An 18,586-nucleotide genomic window follows, 5' to 3' on the forward strand; every position below is an offset into this window, starting at 1 on the left:
TCTACTGCAATTTATCAGTAATGACCACCCACTATGGACCACATGTTAGTAAGACAGGCTGTGGATCAAGGAAATTACCTGGAATGTGAGCTGAATTTTACTACTTTCTCTTCTTTGCAAAAAAGGATACTGGAATCTCAGAGTGATATTAGAAGGACAATTTTGAACAGAGTGAAATTAATTTTATAATACAATTAATCAGACTTTTGTTTCAAAAATCTTTATAACTTTAGTACTAAACCACCTGGGACACACCTCACATGTGACTGAGTACAATCAGAATATTACCTAAAGGGAAAAGCTGCTGACCTAGACAAGTGCACTGTTTGGCTCAGGAAGAAGAGCCAATAATTCTCTTAATGAAATGACACTACGGTCATTCCCCAAGGCCTGAAGAGTCACATTTTATACATGATCTACAATAATATTTCAGGACACAGTGCTTGACATTGGTTCACCTAACTAAACTTTTGAGAAGTTACCTGTATAAAGTTTACCTGACTTGGATGGGTTGTGAAAGCAAGAAAAGATTCCAGGTATTTTCCAAAGTTTGATGGTGTTTCTACATCAGAATCTGCACCCTGTAGGAGAAGACCACTATATTAACGGTGTTGATCGAGAAAAGCAGGAGAGGAAAAAGCAGGGAAGTAATAAAAACAGATAAATTAAACCCTCAAAAAATGTTGTTTCAAAAGGACTTTGTATTTCCTTTTGGCTAAAGAAAGGCATCACTTCAAGGGCTAAAATATAGGTTACTTTGCCTACTCAATCATCATCATTACTTTGCCTACTCAATCATCATCATTAAAACCCATTCTGTGGTCAAACAGTAAAATAAAAAACACTCATTTCAGAAATTACAGAAAGAAAAAAAATCTGTATTACTTCCTCAGACCTTACCTATTCACATCTCTGTGTCCCAACCTATTACCTAATCCCTTCAATAGTTTCTTTTCTTTTTTTTTTCTTTTAGATGGAGTCTCACTCTGTTGCTCAGGCTGGAGAGCAGTGGCACGATCTCGGCTCACTGCAACCTCTACCTCCAGGGTTCAAGCAATTCTCCTGCCTCAGCCTCTCGAGTAGCTGGGATAACAGGCATGCACCACCACGCCTGGCTAATTTTTGTATTTTTAGTAGAGACAGGGTTTCACCATGTTGGCCAGGCTAGTCTCAAACTCTTGACCTCAGGTGATCTGCCCACCTCACCCTCCCAAAATGCTGGGATTACAGGCATGAGCCATTGCACCTGGCCCCCTCAATGGTTGCTTATCTCTGAAACTATCCTCTCTAACCATTTAAACCACCACAAAAAGATATAACATCAATTGCAAATGTCTGTTCCAATGTCCTATCTTCCAACTTATAAGACTGAGTATTAAATATTTCTCTAATGGCAGGTTTTCCAGGTCAATCAGACTCAAGTTTTCTTTTGTGCTCCAATAATACATCCCTTAGATTGGGAAAAGAGTTCTTTATTCAAGTCCATGTTTCGTGGGCTAACAGAATGTAAAAGCATAAAGCACTCAGCAGATTGAGGTTCTGTAAGTACCAAAATTCACAAGAAACCAACGTTGACTTTATGGAATAATAGACGTGGATATCTGACGTTGGTATAACTATTTTATTGTTAAAAGAAATTTAGATCACTCAAACACTATTCTATTAAGATAATTTAATCTATAGAATCATGCAATAACTTGTATGGCACTGCCCCATCAGGCTAAAATCAATGACATTTGCAACCCCTCATTGAAACATAAGTTTCTAAATGCTCTTCCCAAATGGGCTTGAAGCTCTCCAGAAAGCAAACACTAGCTCACCAGCAATGCACACAGCTGATTGCCCAGCGCACACAACACCTGACAGAGCCTCTTCAGAAAGACGTAGTGTTTTTCTACCAAACCTCCTCCATCAGCAGTCCTGTAAGATGAGAATTCCTTATATCACCAACAAAATTAAAAAGGCTGTAATAAAAACATCACTTTGTGTCTCATTTCTCCAAGTCATTTAGTTAGGTCTGTAATTCAGCAGAATTCCAATAGCTTTGCTAAATTAAAAATTTTTTAAAATCTTTTTAACTTATTTGGTGGCAAAACCTGACCTAAAATGATATAGGACTATTCACACAAACAGCAATTAATAACTATGAGTGTGAAAAGCAACTATATTAGCTGTCTTCTGGAGGAGGACAGTATCACATAAAAGGCAAGGACCTTGGGGTAAACGAGGCCTAGGCTTTAGGAACATTGAAGGACAGGATGGTATTATGGTGTCCAATGCAATCTCTGGAGTTTGACTACCTGGGTTGGAATCACCGCTTTATGAACCATGGTTGTGGTATGGCACCCACAGCACAAACAGAAACGGGACACCACTTAGTATGAGTGTCATGATGTCTATGGAACTAAGAATTGGACCTAAAAATAGTAACTACCCAAAAAACGTTATTCATTTAATTAACAGGATCCCTTAAAACAGTGCTGCAGTCTCTACAGGGAAGGAAGCCATGAAAAATGTGTATTAGAATGGGTAGTAAGAGATTTTAAGTAAAACACATGTGCCTCATACCTTTTCATTTCTCCTTGGGACCAAAAGTAAAGAGTATCAAAAAGATGGTGTTGCAACAGATTCAACTACTTATAATATATAGTTCTGCCTGACTTCCTGGTAAGAAACATGTTATCAAGAAATGCTTTAATATTTTTTCTTTTTTTTTGAGACACGATCTCGCTGTCACACCTAGGCTGGAGTACAGTGGCTCAAATATGGCTCACTGAAGCCTCAAACTAATGGGCTTCAAGGGATCCTCTCACTGCAGCCTCCCAAGTAGCTGGGACTATAAAGCGCATGCCACCATACGCAGCTAATTTATTTTCATTTTGATTTTTTGTAGGGATGAGGTCTTGCCATGTTGCCCAGACTGGTCTTGAACTTCTGGGTCCAAGCAATCTTCACGGCTTGGCCTCCCAAAATATGGGGATTACAGGCATGAGCCATTGGGCCCGGCCTTGCTTTAGTATTTTCTAGAGCAACTGGAAGAAAGTACATGGAAGCCCTTACAGTCATGCATCACTTAACGACTGGGGATGTGTACTGAGAAATGCATCGTTAAGTGATTTTATCACCATTTGAACATGATAGAGTGTACTTACACAAACTTACACAACAGGAATAGCCTATTACACATCTAGGCTATATAGCATAGCCTATTGCTCCTAGGCTACAAACCTCTATAGCATGTTACCGTAGCCAATACTGCAGGCAACTGTAACACAATGGTAAGTATTTGTGTATCTAAATACAGAAAAGGTACAGTAAAAATATGGTATAAATGATAAAAGATGGTATACCTGTAGAAGGCACTTACCATGAATGACTGCAGGACAGAAAACTGTACTGGGTGGGTCCAGAGTGAGTGGTGAGTGAATGTGGAAGCCTAGGACATTACTGGACCCTACTGTAGACTTTATAAATTCTGTACCCTTAGGCTAAACTAAACTTATTTATTTATTTAGAGATGGAGTCTCACTCTGTTGCCTAAGCTGGAGTGCAGGGGCACAATCCTGGCTCACTGCAACTTTCGCCTCCCAGGTTCAAGCGATCTCCTGCCTCAGCCTCCCAAGTAGCTAAGAATACACACATGCACCACCACGCCCGGCTAATTTTTGTACTTTTAGTAGAGATGGGGTTTCACCATGTTGGCCAGGCTGGTCTTGAACTCCTGACCTCAGGTGGTCCATCTGCCTTGGCCTCCTAAAGTGCTGTGATCACAAGCATGACCCAGCGTACCTGGCCCGCTAAATTTATTTAAAAAATTTTCCAGCCGGGCACGGTGGCTCATGCCTATAATCCCAGTACTTTGGGAGGCTGAGGTGGGTGGATCACCTGAGATCAGGAATTCAAGACCAGCCTGACCAACAGGGAGAAACCCTGTTTCTACTAAAAATACAAAATTAGCTGGCCATGGTGGTGCATGCCTGTAATCCCAGCTTCCTGGGAGGGTGAGGCAGGAGAATCGCTTGAACCCGGGAGGCAGAGGTTGCAGTGAGCTGAGATCGCATCATTGCACCCCAGCCTGGGCAATAAGAGCGAAACTCCATCTCAAAAAAAAAAAAACTTCCTTTCTTCAATAATGAATTAACTTTAGCTTACTGTAACTTTTTAACTTTATAAACTTTTAAAAACTATTTTTTTGAGACAAGGTCTCAGTCTGTTGCCCAGGCTGGAGTGTAGTGGCATGATCATGGTTCACGATTGCCTGGACTTCCCAGCTCTAGTGACCCTCCCACCTCAGCCTTCTGAGTAGCTGGGACTACAAGTACACATACCACCACACCCGACTAATTTCTGTATTTTTTTGTAGAGATGGACTCTTGCCATGTTGCTCAGGTTGGTCTCAAACTCCTGACTCAATCAATCCTCCCGCCTTGGCCTCCCCAGGTGCTGAGGTTACAAATGTTAGCTAGCACATTCAGCCATGACTGCCTCATTTTCTCTCTTTTTTTTTTTTTTTTGAGACAGAGTCTCACTTTGTTGCCCAGTCTGGAGTAGAGTGGTGTGATCTCAGCTCACAGCAACCTCTGCCTCCCAGGTTCAAGATACTCTCCTGCCTCAGCCTCCTGAGTAGCTGGGATTACAGGCGTGCGCCACCAGGTCTGGCTAATTTTTGTATTTTAGTAGAGATGGGGTTTCACCGTGTTGGCCAGGCTGGTCTCAAACTCCTGGCCTCAAGTGATCCACTTGCCTTGGACTCCCAAAGTGCTGGAATTACAGGTGTGAGCCACCACATCTGGCCAATGCCTCATTTTCTTATCCAAAAACACTGTCGATTGACAGCTAGCATTTAAGTAAGAACTTCAGGTGGGCACAGGGGCTCACTCCTGTAATCCCAGCACTTTGGGAGGCTGAGGCAGGTAGACCACCTGAGGTCAAGAGTTTGAGACCAGAGCGGTCAGCACGGCAAAACCCTGTCTCTACTAAAAATAGAAAAATTAGCCAGGCATGGTGGTGCGCCTGTAATCCCAGCTACTCGGGAGGCTGAGGCAGGAGAATCGCTTGATCCCAGGAGACGGAGGTTGTGGTGAGCCAAGATCGCGCCACTGCACTCCAGCCTGGGTGACAGAGCGAGATCCATCTCAAAATAAAAAAAAAAAAAAGAACTTCAGATAAATCCAAATAAGATAGAAAAATGACAAAGAAATTAGAAAACACACTGAAAAGTAAAGATACTCACTGTGCGGCGGAGAGTATATAATGCATGGCAACATCTCCAAATAAGACCATCAAGGGCTTCCGGTCTTCCAACTTGCCCTAGACCCAATTTTAGGGAAACATAGTCATATAAACTATACTTCAAAGTACCGACATCTTCTGTAAGTATATAATCAAATATATTGACTTCATAATTTCTTATATACCCCAGGGTTTAGTGAAACACTAGAAAGAAGCCCAACTCTTTAAAACCAAATCTGGATAAACTACATATTTTTTCTCAAAACTATCAGTTTAGTGAAAAAGCATAAACTTACATTTTTAAATGTGTTCGGCAGGCCGAGTGCGGTGGCTCATGCCTGTAATCCCAGCACTTTGGGAGGACGAGGCAGGCGGAACAACTGAGATCAGGAGTTCGAGACCAGCCTGGTCAACATGGTGAAACCCTGTCTCTACTAAAAATACAAAAATTAGGCCAGGTGCCGTGGCTCACACCTGTAATCCTAGCACTTTGGGAGGTCAAAGCAGGTGGATCACTTGAGGTCAAAAGTTCGAGACCAGCCTGGCCAACATAGTGAAACCCCATCTCTACTAAAAAATACAAAAATTAGCTGGGTGTGGTGGCACACGCCTGTAATCCCAGATACTCAGGAGGCTGAGGCAGGAGAATTGCTTGAACCCGGGAGGCAGAGGTTGCACTGAGCTGAGATTGCGCCACTGCACTCCAGCCTAGACAACAGAACGAGACTCCATCTCAAAAAATAAATAAATAAATAAATAAATGTGTTGGGCAATAATGCTGATATGACAGCAAAGTAAATTACATTTGTAGATAATATTCCTATGGAGAAAAGAGTCACAGTTCCATTGGTTAGCCAAGACAGACATAGGCTTGGCGCAGTGGCTCACGCCTGTAATCCCAGCACTTTAGGAGGCTGAGGAGGGCAGATCACTTGAGCTCAGGAGTTCGAGAAGAGCCTGGCTAACATGGCAAAACCTCATCTCTACTAAAAAATACAAAAATCAGTCGGGCATGGTGGCGTGTGCCTATAGTCCTAGCTACTCGGGAAGCTGAGGCAGGAGAATCGCTTGAACCCGGAAGGCGGACGTTGCAGTGAGCCAACATCACGCCACTGCACTCCAGCCTGGGTGACAGAGCAAGACTGTTTCAATTAAAAAAAAAAAAAAAAAAAAAAGACAGATATAAACCTACTGTAGCCACCATCCAAGATTCCTTGACATTCATTAAGTGAGCTTTAAACTTAAACATTTACTTTTATCTGTTAACTGTAAATTGCCAAGTATCATGGCTATTTCAAGAACCATGCAGCCTGATAAATCTCCACATTCTGCCAAAGGATCCCTTGAATATTGGCAAACTCCTGTCCAAGGGGGTTGGAAGCAGGCAGTAAGTTGGCCCCAAGGAAAAAAACCCAAACCTTTAAATGACTTTCTGCCACAACATGCAATTAAACACATACACAGCCTACTTCAGAGACTGAGGATAAGTCAGTTTGAAGTGGTAACTTACTTTTCTGCTGACTGCAATGAGAAGACACTCAGCGGCTCCCAACTGAAGTTCCTGTTCATTCAACAGCAAACACAGTATCTCCAGGAGTTTACAGTTTTCAGCAGTGATGTGACTCATAGACACCCAGTCAATATAGCCTGCTAGAGTATTCAGTGCTGCAACTCCTACTCGACAGTTTGCTTGCGCCTACCAGAAAAGAAGTAACTTTGGACCATGAAGTCCTCGGTAACAGGTAAGGAATCAGTGGTTATAACTGAACTCCCATTTTCTAATTCTAAGAAAATTATTTTTTAAGAATATACTCATGTAACAGTCACAGGTAGGGAACACAATCACTTCTCAAACAATGACATTCTCAACATCCAACAACAAGACCATACTGGCATGTGTGGCCATTTTATCTTTTTCACAAAACCCCAAATCTTATCATTTTACTTCCCAAGGCTGGGTGCAGTGGCACACACCTGCAATACCAGCACTTTGGGAGGCCAAGGTGGGTGAATCAACTGAGCCCAGGAGTTAAAACAACAGCCTGGGCAACATGGCAAAACTAGTGTCTACCAAAAAAACAAAAAATAAAATAAAATAAAAAAAATACCCTAACCAAAAAAATACAAAAATTAGCCAGGCATGATGGTGTGCATCTATAGTCCCAGCTACTCATGAGGTTGAGGTAAGGCTCACTTGAAGCCTGGAGGCTGAAGCTGCAGTGAGCCACGTTTGCGTCACTGTACTCTAGCCTGGGTGACAAAGTAAGACCCTGTGTCAAAAAAAAAAAAAAAAAGTAAGTCTGTTTTTGTTTTTTTTTTTTACTTCCCTTCAACCATAGCTCAGTGATCAAAAACAGAACAAAGGACAGGCTGGGCATGGTGGCTCACACCTGTAATCCCAGCACTTTGGGAAGCTGAGGAGGGCGGATGATGAGGTCAGGAGATTGAGACTATCCTGGCTAACATGGTGAAACCCCGTCTCTACTAAAAATACAAAAAATTAGCTGGGTGTGGTGGCGGGCACCTGTAGTCCCAGCTACTCGGGAGGCCAGGCAGGAGAATGGCGTGAACCCAGGAGGCAGAGCTTGCAGTGAGCCGAGATCGCGCCACTGCACTCCAGCCTGGGCAAGTGAGCGAGACTCCGTCTCAAAAACAAAAACAAAAACAAACAAAAAAAACAAACGACAGATGCAGTGGCCCACAGTCACTTCAGGAGGTCGAGGCTGGAGGATCACTTGAAGCCAGGGGTTTGACACCGGCCTAGGCAACACACTGAGACCCTGTTTCTATAGAAAGTATTAGCTGGGCATGGTGGTGCGCACCTATATTCCCAGCTACTCATGAAGTTGAGGTGAGAGGATCACTTGAGCTGGGGAGGTCATGGCTGCAGTGAGCTGAGACCACACAACTGCACTCCAGCCTGGGCAACAGTAAGACCTGTCTCCAAAACAATACAACACAAGCAAGGCTGAGGTCACCATCCACTAGGGGCACGTATCCCCTCACCTGAAAGGTTCAAAGGTCTCCTTCAAACTTTATAAAGAGCTCTTACCTTTGACTCCTGAGAAGTATCTGTCTTCTGAAAGGAAGTATAAAGATCCAGTGTTTTTAATGAGCAAAAGGCCACATAATAACTTTCTACCCCCCACAAATCAATGCCCTTGAATAATGATTCTTAAATATATGCAATTTTTCATCTTGGAAAATAACACAACTTTACTAAGCACGCATAACTGATATTCCCCTAGGGAGAACAAGTAAAGTCAGAAGCATAATTAAATGAATACAATTCATGAACATGTATGTATAGCCTAAGTATATGAAAACCATGTACTCAAAAATACTGGATGTTGGCCAGGCGTGGTGGCTCACGCCTGTAATCCCAGCAGTCTGGGAGGCCAAGGCAGGTGGATCACCTGAGGTCAGGAGTTTGAGACCAGTCTGGCCAACATGGTGAAACCCCATCTCTACTAAAATTACAAAAATTAGCCGGTGTGCTGGCGCATGCCTGTAATCCCAGCTACTTGGGAAGCTGAGGCAGAAGAATCACTCGAACCCGGGAGGCAGAGGTTGCAGTGAACCAAGATTGCACTACTGCACTCCAGCCTGGGCAACAAAAGTGAAACTCCGTCTCAAAAAAAAAAAAACAACAAAAAAAAATACATATATATATGATGTTAAATACATCAGAATAGTGGCTATTCAGTGAATATACAAATATGGTTGATTTTTATCCTTATATTTCAAATCCATACAAAGGCACATAATGTTAACTTACAAGCATACAAAATTAGGCCAGGCGCGGTGGCTCACGCCTACCATCCCAGCACTTTGGAAGACCAAGGCAGGCGGATTATTTGAGGTCAGGAGTTCAAGACCAGCCTGACCAACATGGTGAAACACCATCTCTACTAAAATACAAAAATTAGACGGGCATGGTGGCAGGCACCGGTAATCTCAGCTACCCGGGAGGCTGAGGCAGGAGAATCGCTTGAACCCAGGAGGCGGAGGTTGCAGTGAGCCGAGATTGTGCCACTGCACTCCAGCATGGGTGACAGAGTGAGACTCCCTCTCCAAAAAAAAAAAAAAAATTAGTATTTTCCTAAAGAACTTCTGAAAATAAAATTAAGAATAACACCTAGGGCTGGGCTCGGTGGCTCACACCTATAATCTCAGCACTTTGGGAGAGCAAGGTGGGTAGACCACCTGAGGTCAGGAGTTTGAGACTAGCCTTGCTAACACAGCGAAACTCCATCTCTACTAAAAATACAAAAATTAGCCAGGTGTGGTGGCACATGCCTGTAATCCCAGGAGGTGGAGGCTGCAGTAAGCCGAGATCCCTATCTTTTTTTTTTTTTTTTTTTTTTTTTTTAAAAAAGGCCAGGTGCCGTGGCTCACACCTATAATCCCAGCACTTTGGGAGGCGGGCGGATCATGAGGTCAGGAGATCAAGACCTTCCTGGCTAACATAGTGAAACCCCGTCTCTACTAGAAATACAAAAAATCAGCCGGGCCTGGTGGCGGGCGCCTGTAGTCCCAGCTACTTGGGAGGTTGAGGCAGGAGAATCGCTTGAACCTGGGAGGCAGAGGTTGCAGTGAGCCGGGATCACACCACTGCACTCCAGCCTAGGTGACAGAGCGAGCCTCCGTCTCAAAAAAAAAAAAAAAAAAAAAAGAAAGAAAATGAGCTCCAGTTTTTCTGTCATTTCCTAGTTTTTTATTTTTTTGCTTATAAAATAGGATTTCATTTTGCTGACCTAGACACCCTAGTTCCTTACTGTAAGATTAATCAAAAACACTCATATTGGAAAATAGAAATGTTATAGGTAGGGGTATCCCTTACCACTTGCTGATACTTGTTTACATTTTCTTGAAGTGTGTTAAGCAGAAAACTGAAGATCCTTTCCATGTTCTGGGTTAATGTTTGCTGGATGTCCCTTCTTCTTTGAGGGGGAAGTGTCTGAAAAGTCACTACATCCTCTGCCAGTCGCAAAAGGATAAACATCACCAATTCTGTCTGTGTTTCCTACACCAATAGAAATAAGCTAGTTAAAAACTAAAATATCTTTTCATTTTATGTATATCCAAAGGCTATTTTCTGTTGCCAAAAAAAAAAACCCACAAACAAAATCAAACAACAAACCCTGAAGTTTGTTCCAAGGAAAAGTATACCAAACTGATATAGCTGTGTTTCATACCCCTTGTTTGGAAAGAGTGTCCAATTCTATTAGCATGTCAGGCCAATGCTGTGGCCACTCTCGCTTGATCATTTCCACTACAATTCGAGACAGAGCATCTTTAATATGGTTCTCCTCTTCCAAAATGTTCAATGTTCCCTGAAAAAGAACAAGAGATATTAAGAGATATGCAAGACTGGATTCCAGACTTCCAGAAAAAAGCTGGGCTGTAGAGTTGTAAAAAATTTATCAGCAGGCCTACTTTTAAACCAAACAGAACAAATGAACCTGTTCTTCAGCCTGAGTCACTTGTCCTGCATTCTTGCTAATCACTCTTCCGCTTAAAGCTTAAGTGAGGGTTGCATCACCTAAAAGGCTGTCATATCGAGAGCTAGGATGACATCATTATTCTTTACAAAATGAAAAGATTCTCATATTGATTGTTTCAGTTTGCAGAAGGCCAGGGAGGAAGAGTATAGAAATAAGGAGTATAGTGAGTAGCTGGTAAAATGGAAGGGTATGAAGGGGCAAATGAATATTTTACCAATAGTTCTAACACTAGAAGACGCAGAAGTATTAGAAGATCCCATCTCTCATGTCTGTTATTTAAAAAAAACCAAGAAAGAAAAAAGGCTACAATTTTGAACATGTTTAAAGTCATATTCTGTTTTGTGTTTAAAGAGACAGTCATCCAGTCATCACACCTGTAATCTCAGCATTTTGGAAAGCCAAGGTGGGAGGATTGCTTGAGGCCAGGGGTTTGAGACCAGACTAGCCTGGGAAACACAGTGAGACCCTGTCTCTCTAAAAACCAAAAACAAAATTAGCTGGGCATGGTACCACATGCCTATAATCCCAGCTACTTGGGAGGCTAAGGCGAGAAGATCACTTGAGCCCAGGAGTTCGAGGCTGCAGTGAGCTATGATCATGCTAATGCAATCCAGCCGGAGCAACAGAGACTCTGTCTCAAAAAAAAAAAAAAGTCATATTCTAATACTTGAAACAAATTCATTCTGCATACTTAAAATTCTGCATGTTTTTCATCATTAGTATCACATAGTAGTTGTTTGGAATAAAAGAAAATAGTGTTTCAATCTAATTTAGATCTAAGAATCTTATTGATTTGTTGAAAATATTTAATCCCCTCTGCCCTGTCTTTATAATTTAAAAAATAGAAGTCAATACATAAGCATGATTAATTAAACCTAGTAAGAGACATATGCTGAATTATGCTTTCTGCTTTTGTTTTGTTTTGTTTTTGAGATAGGGTCTTGCTCTGTTGCACAGGCTGGAGTGCCATGGCACCATCACAGCTCACTGCAGCCTGGACCTCCTGGGCTCAGAAAATCCTCCCACCTCAGCCTCCTGAGTAGCTGGGCCACAGGCATGCGCCACCACGCTCAGCTAATTTTTGCATTTTTGGTAGAGATGGGGTCTCACTGCATTGCCCAAGCTGCTCTCGAATTCTTAGATGCAGGTGATCCTCTTACCTTGGCTTCCCAAAGCGCTAGAATTACAGGTGTGAGTCACTGTGCCTGGCCTAAATTATGATTTCTTGTGCTGTCTGACCTATTTAGAAGCAGTGAATTTTTACACAAACTCCCTATTGAAGAAGTCACGCTTTGCCTAAACTACCTTGGAAACATGTCTCCCAACCACCCATTCCTTACATTTGCAATCAGCTCCATGACACTGTTCTTCAGATACACCTTCTCCAATCGAGACATGCCGTTCCACCGAAACCTGACCACCAAAATGCATAAAGTCAATAGAACCACTTTAGAAGTCTTGTCTTTACAAGAGAATAGCATGGATTTCTACATTTGATTACACTGGAGATTTCATTAAGAAATTATACTTTTGATTTTGTACCTGTCAATGAATGGGCAAAAATGATCTACATTTAACCAAAATACTAACACAAAAATTCTTGGGAAAAGGTTTTATATATGCAGTGGTCCATTAACTGGAATCCGCACAAGATTTGTACCACACGTCAGCTTTGCCTCATGATTTTATTGATGGGCCAAAAGTGAATATACATCTAGGTCAACTGCAACAATGTACTTGCTTTTCAGAAAATGCAGTTTTGACATCAGTCATTTTCTGTGCTGGCTTACAAAACAATTCTGGAAAAACTATGGCTAAGTCTTAAAGGCTACCTCTTCTGATAGGTGTTGAGGGTAGGACAATCAAGTTAGGATGGGTTTTCAGTTATTCTCATACAATCCTGCTTTGGATGTACCACCCAGAGAAGGCACACAAACTCAGAAAGACAGAGAGAAAAAAGAAAGCCACAGTGCCTAATCAGAGATTCATTGACCTATACATTGCATTACTCTAAAAAGGCTTCGAGGGCTAATGACATATAGTCAGAGCTCAGTAAGTATTGGCTAAATGGCAGGTAATATTTGTTGAATGGGTAATATGTACCACACACTTTACATGGATGAAGAAACTGAAGAAAAGAAAGGTTAAATCTTGAATGAGAGCTCCTGTGAGGTTCTGATAACATCTAGGGGATCATTCCTCTCTTCTTGGAGATTGCTCTTCTCTACTCACCTAAACAGCATCTCTATAGGTTATATAAGATATAAAGATCTGTTCTCTCAGACTTCAGTGGTAATGTCCAAGAGCTCCTTACTTGACAACGTGTTCCAGGATCTGAAGGCCAAAATGTCTGACGATGGCAACTTGTGTTTTCTCAGCCAACCTCAAGCCACAGGGGACACAGATAGGACACTTTTCTTTAAACTCCTCACAAAACTGAAAGAAGAAAAGTTAGTGTTTCCTTTCGAGGGCTGAGAGAATAGGGACTAAAAGAATTTCATCTTAAGAAACTCCAACCAGGGCCGGGTGCGGTGGCTCACACCTGTCCCAGCACTCTGGGAGGCTGAGATGGGTGGACTACTTGAGTCTAGGAGTCTGAGACTAGCCTAGGCAACATGGCGAAACCCCATCTCTATTAAATATATATATATATATATATTTTTTTTTTTTTTTTTTGAGACGGAGTCTCACTCTGTCGCCCAGGCTGGAATGCAATGGCATGATCTCGGCTCACTGCAACCTCTGCTTCCCAGGTTCAAGCAGTTCTCCTGCCTCAGCCTCCTGAGCCCATGTAGCTGGGACTACAAGTGCACGCCACCACACCCAGCTAATTTTTGTATTTTTAGTAGAAACAAGGTTTCATCATGTTGACCAGGCTGGTCTTGAACTCCTGACCTCAGGTGACCCACCTGCCTTGGCCTCCCAAAGTGCTGGGATTACAGGCGTGAGCCACTGTGCCCGGCCCACTAAAAATATTTTTTTAAATTAGCCGGGCATGGTGGCAGGTGCCTGTAATCCCAGCTACTCAGGAGGCTGAAGTGGTAGGAGAATCACTTGAGCTCGAGAAATCAAGGCTGAAGTGAGCCGAGATCTCACCACTGCACGCCAGCCTGGACAACCAGAGTGAGACCCTACTCAAAAAGAAACTCCAACCTAAGCTATATGTTTAAAGTTGCAAAACCTAGATCAATATTATGTGGATCTCCAAGCACAGTTGCTTTAAAAATATATATTTAATATAAAAATAAAAATATAAAATATATAAAAGTTACACATATATAACATTTCCTCCAAGTGGTGTTCACTCTATTTTATGTGTATATATTATATATATATTATGAATAAAGAACTGATAAACATTCCTTCCAGCGTGATGGTTCCAGATTTTTTCCATGCTACGGCCAACAGTAGCCCTACTAGTGTTGGAAAAAAATGGACACAAAGGAATAAGAAATTATTTGTTAGAGACATCCCCCTGACGTACATAGGGGTGAAATAACAATTTCTAGGGTTTCTTTTAAAAACCTTCGAGGCAGGGAGAGAGGATAGGCGGTGGAAAAAGTAAATGCGGTAAAATCTTTGATTGCTGAATTTAGGTGACAGGAACATGCAGAATCACTGTCGTATTCTCTCCACTTTTGTGTCTATTTTAAATATTAATAATAAAAACCAAACTAATGGAACCCAATTGTTTCTGATTCCAAACCCTGTGGCAGACATCTACATATTGTAACATTTCCTCCAAGTGGTGGTCACTCTCTTTTTTGAAGTTAACATCACTTTAAAAATGTACAGCACAAGTATTTTCTCCTAAATGGCCATTTCTCACAGCCCACACACGTTGTTTTATGGGCAAGTAAGCTTGAATTGTATTAACACCCCCAAACTGCAACATAAGTCAGTCCCAAGAGCAGAGCATTCGGGTCTCACGCAAACTACTTTCAGGAAACCAAAGTGCCCTTGTTAAAATGCAAAGTAAGTGGTAGAAGTTATCTTTGCGCAAAATAGCCTAAAAATATTACACTCAAAAACATGGGAGAAGTAGGGGTGCGAGAATTTCCCCGGAAAATGTCCAAGACACAAACGAAAGTTAGCGAGATGTTAAAGCATATAAGCATAAGGGTACCAGAGGGGCTGGAGCTCGGTCAGGGCCAGGGGAGTGGGCCAGCAGGAAAACGTTTAGTGCAGGAGAGACCATAAAGAACGAAGCTGGTGTTGGGGGCGGGATCTACACGTGCGCCTCGGGAAGGCGAGGGGATGTCGGGCTTGGGGAATGAAAATGGGCGAGGGTCATGTTGCGGACAAGAGTGCACAGAAGCGAGGAAAGGGGGAGGAGAGGGCTGTGGGAAGCTGCGGCGAGATGAGAAGCAGCATAGGGACCGGAGTGTCCCAGGCAAAGGACAGGAGCGGCGAGTAGAGAAGGCGGCGATTTGGGAGAGGCGCGGAGGGCCGCGAGGGGAAGGTCCCGGGGAGTTGGGAAAGGAGGTCCAGGGGCCGCGTGGGCGGGAGACTACCCCAGTTACAGGCGGCGCCGGAGCTGCTGGGGCTGGGAGAGGGTGTCGGGACCGGCCCAGGACGCCAGGACCCCAGCTACCTTGAGGGCTTCCAGCCGGTAGCGCTGGGTGGAGTTGGGGTCCATCATGACCGTCACCGCTTTCACCAGCTGCTCGCACAGCGCGTTTACTTGATCCATCGCCATGCCTAGCGCCACGCGCCGAGAGCGCACACCACTGCAGTCCCGGGACCACGAGGCACGACAGCTCCCTCGGCGAGACCACCCGTTGGTACCGGGCCGCGGCGGGCGGCGGGGGTGGGAAGCTGGAGGAGGAGCGTTAGCAGCAACTCGCGCTGGGAAGAAGCCGGCGCTGCGCACGCGCCCGGCCCGCCACTGCGCACGCGCCCGCGGAAGTGGCGGCTCCCGTGTGCAGGTTGAGCCTAGGTGGGCGGGGCGGGAGGCGGAAGGGCCGCGGTGCGCAGCCGCGTCAACGGCCCTTCGCAGCGGGCGCGCTGTCAGACCTCAGTCTGGCGGCTGCATTGCTGGGCGCGCCGCTCTCGTCTGATCCCTGCTGGGGACGGTTGCCCGGGCAGGATCCTTTACGATCCCTTCTCGGTTTCTCCGTCGTCACAGGGAATAAATCTCGCTCGAAACTCACTGGACCGCTCCTAGAAAGGCGAAAAGATATTCAGGAGCCCTTCCATTTTCCTTCCAGTAGGCACCGAACCCAGCATTTTCGGCAACCGCTGCTGGCAGTTTTGCCAGGTGTTTGTTACCTTGGTAAGAAAATTTAGAACCGTTCGCTGTCACTGTGTTCAGACTTTCTATGTTGCCTTGGCTATTGGTTTTATAATGTAGCAGTGACTGGGCCAAGGTTGCGTGAAATATAAATCATGCTAACAGGGATAAGGCCCTGGTACTGTCTTCTAAGATTTTTCTTGTAGAAAAAAGTATGTTTTTCCCTGTAGTTGTTAAACCTCTCTCTTGGAATTACTTTCCTGGATGTATTATTACCTGGTGGGCACTAAACTTGTTTTGTGCGGATTGGGGTAACTCGAGATGTTTAAAGGGAATAATTGCAATCAGTGAAGGTTTGTGCAGTTTTGATAATTGGCCAAGTGCTATGTATAAGGTTTCAAAGTAGTGTAATCCTTATCCAAAAGCATGGCTTGGGCAGAAAGTCTTCTTCATTTTCCATCTTTATAAAGCTCTTGGCCGGGCGCGGTGGCTCACGCCTGTAATCCCAGCACTTTGGGAGGCGGAGGCGGGCGGATCACCTGAGGTCAGGAGTTCGAGACCAGCCTCACCAACATGGTGAAACCCCGTTTCTACTAAACATACAAAAATTATGTTTGCATTTTTAGTATTTTTATACAGGCGTGGCGGTGCGCGCCTGTAATCCCAGCTACTCGGGAGGCTGAGGTGGGAGAATCGCTTGAACCCGGGAGGCGGAGGTTCAGTGAGCCGAGATCGCGCCTTTGCACTCCAGCCTGGGCGACAGAGCGAAACTCCGTCTCAAAAATAAATAAATAAAGCTCTTGCTTTCTCCAGTAAATACATAAACGGAAAACCTCAACAGCTTTATTATCTGTTAAAGTCTGCATGTCTGTTTTTGTGATTGTGTGCTTAGTAAATTGTGTGCTGAACATAAATCACTGCTTCCTATTCTTGCTCCACTTCTGGTATTTGGATCTAATATGGTGCTTAGCCTGTGTTTTTTTGTGTTACAATACTATTTGTTGGCTCAGTCTGTTCCAGTACTACTGAAAAGCCACTTCAAAGTAGAGGGACTTCTGGCATGTTATAGTTTTAACTTGTAAATGTTTAAAGTATCACATTCTGCCTGTTTTAGGCGTGGTCGATTGGAATTTATAAGGAATTAATGCTTTGACTGCTCTGATTTTAATTATTTTTCTTTCCACTCACCTTCCTGCTTTGCAGTTGTAAGACGTTTTTTTTTTCAAGGTGAATGTTAGTTTTTGAAAAACTTTTTTTAGAATACAGTTGGGTGCTCACTCAACTGTATAACCTGTGTTTCTCGTATTTAAATCATGGATTGCTGGTGTTTCGATTGTCTTATTTAGGTCTTGGCTCCCAAACTGCTGCATATTGGAATTACCTGGAGAGCTTTTAAAAATCCCCGGCCTGGCGCGGTGGCACACGCCTGTAATCCCAGCACTTTGGGAGGCCGAGGCGGGCGGATCACGAGGTCAGGAGATCGAGACCATCCTGGCTAACACGGTGAAACCCCGTCTCTACTAAAAATACAAAAAATTAGCCGGGCGGGGTGGCACGCGCCTGTAGTCCCAGCTAATGGGGATGAGGCAGAGGAATCACTTGAAACCGGGAGATGGAGGTTGCAGTGAGCTGAGATCTCACCACTGCACTTCAGCCTGGGTGACAGACGGAGACTCTGTCTAGGAAAAAAAAAAATCCCCATGCTAGGCCGAGCGCGATGGCTCACGCCTGTAATCCCAGCACTTTGGGAGGCCGAGGTGGGTGGATCGCCTAAGGTCAGGAGTTAGAGACTAGCCTGGCCAACATGGTGAAACCCAGTCTCTACTCGAAATACAAAAATTAGCCGGGCGTGGTGGCGTGCGCCTGTAATCCCAGCTACTCAGGAGGCTGAGGCAGGAGAATCGCTTGAACCCGGGAGGCGTAGGTTGCAGTGAGCCGAGACTGTGCCATTGCACTCCAGCCTGCGCAACGAGAACGAAACTCTAACTCAAAAACAACAACAACAACAAAAAACTCATGCCCAGGTCATACCCATACCAATTAAGTTAGTATATATAGTTGTGGAAGTCAAATATCAGTAGTATTTAAAGCAGCCTGGCGGGGGGACAAGAGCGAGACTTTGTCTCAAAAAAAAAAAAGTGTCATGGTCATGAAAAACAAGGAACAACCGAGGAAATGCCACAGATTGGGGGGCAGTAAAGTATGTAGTTAATAATATGCCAATGTTCATTTTTAAATTTTGGTAATTGTGTTAAGTAAGATGTTAACATCAGGAAACTGGGAGTAGGAGAACTCTACCATTTTTGCGATTTTCTGTAAGTCTAAAAGTATTTCAGAGTAAAAGGTTGACATTTTTCATGAATGCTATGATGTTATATATTATTTTCTCCTTCTCTTTTCTCTGAATTTATACTTGAGATTTGTCTGTCAACTGATTCCGTATTGGTTCTCTTCCCCTGGTGATGTGCATTTTAATTTCCATTTCCCCATGACTAATGATGGTGAGCCTATTTTTATGTGCCAATTGGCTATGTTTGTATTTTGTGGTTAGTTCTTTTAAGGATAAGTATTTTTAAAGCTTTTAATACCTATTGCCTTCATAAAATTGTACTAA

At 43.6% G+C, this 18,586-nt stretch overlaps 3 protein-coding genes across 6 annotated transcripts in view, besides 4 other annotated features; 2 read left to right on the forward strand and 1 right to left on the reverse strand.

The window, feature by feature from the left end:
* The window catches only part of POLR1C (RNA polymerase I and III subunit C), a 45,319-nt gene extending 43,338 nt beyond the window's left edge, over positions 1-1,981 (forward strand). Inside the window, exon 10 of the mRNA NM_001363658.2 lies at positions 974-1,981. The gene's annotated coding sequence lies outside the window, so the exon portion shown is untranslated. The remainder of the gene's footprint in view (positions 1-973) is intronic.
* Positions 1-15,612, reverse strand: part of XPO5 (exportin 5) — a 53,705-nt gene extending 38,093 nt beyond the window's left edge. For both annotated transcript variants that reach the window (NR_144392.2, NM_020750.3), the window contains exons 1-10: positions 15,334-15,612; positions 13,054-13,175; positions 12,080-12,152; positions 10,431-10,568; positions 10,076-10,258; positions 8,285-8,311; positions 6,743-6,928; positions 5,234-5,310; positions 1,821-1,920; positions 498-581 (exon numbers count right to left, since the gene is read on the reverse strand). Coding sequence is in view for 1 of the 2 variants with exons in the window: in NM_020750.3 (NP_065801.1) it covers positions 498-581; positions 1,821-1,920; positions 5,234-5,310; positions 6,743-6,928; positions 8,285-8,311; positions 10,076-10,258; positions 10,431-10,568; positions 12,080-12,152; positions 13,054-13,175; positions 15,334-15,438 (1,095 nt within the window). In the remaining variant the exon portion in view is untranslated. The remainder of the gene's footprint in view (positions 1-497; positions 582-1,820; positions 1,921-5,233; positions 5,311-6,742; positions 6,929-8,284; positions 8,312-10,075; positions 10,259-10,430; positions 10,569-12,079; positions 12,153-13,053; positions 13,176-15,333) is intronic.
* Positions 10,890-10,939: an enhancer, noted in NCBI's record as "active region_24603". NCBI's record gives its function as "activates an Ori minimal core promoter by ATAC-STARR-seq in GM12878 lymphoblastoid cells {active_cell/tissue: GM12878}" and the evidence as "EXISTENCE:reporter gene assay evidence [ECO:0000049][PMID:35858748]".
* Positions 15,559-15,758: a silencer, noted in NCBI's record as "silent region_17236". NCBI's record gives its function as "represses an Ori minimal core promoter by ATAC-STARR-seq in GM12878 lymphoblastoid cells {active_cell/tissue: GM12878}" and the evidence as "EXISTENCE:reporter gene assay evidence [ECO:0000049][PMID:35858748]".
* The window catches only part of POLH (DNA polymerase eta), a 44,339-nt gene continuing 41,511 nt past the window's right edge, over positions 15,759-18,586 (forward strand). For all 3 annotated transcript variants that reach the window (NM_006502.3, NM_001291970.2, NM_001291969.2), the window contains exon 1: positions 15,759-16,014. The gene's annotated coding sequence lies outside the window, so the exon portion shown is untranslated. The remainder of the gene's footprint in view (positions 16,015-18,586) is intronic.
* Positions 15,779-16,028: an enhancer, noted in NCBI's record as "active region_24604". NCBI's record gives its function as "activates an Ori minimal core promoter by ATAC-STARR-seq in GM12878 lymphoblastoid cells {active_cell/tissue: GM12878}" and the evidence as "EXISTENCE:reporter gene assay evidence [ECO:0000049][PMID:35858748]".
* Positions 17,357-17,857: an enhancer, noted in NCBI's record as "H3K4me1 hESC enhancer chr6:43545520-43546020 (GRCh37/hg19 assembly coordinates)". NCBI's record gives its function as "activates a minimal SCP1, AML or CMV promoter by ChIP-STARR-seq in primed H9 embryonic stem cells {active_cell/tissue: H9 hESC(primed)}" and the evidence as "EXISTENCE:reporter gene assay evidence [ECO:0000049][PMID:30033119]".

Source organism: Homo sapiens, chromosome 6 (assembly GCF_000001405.40).
Source record: "Homo sapiens chromosome 6, GRCh38.p14 Primary Assembly".
In the NCBI taxonomy this organism is placed as follows: Eukaryota; Metazoa; Chordata; class Mammalia; order Primates; family Hominidae; genus Homo; species Homo sapiens.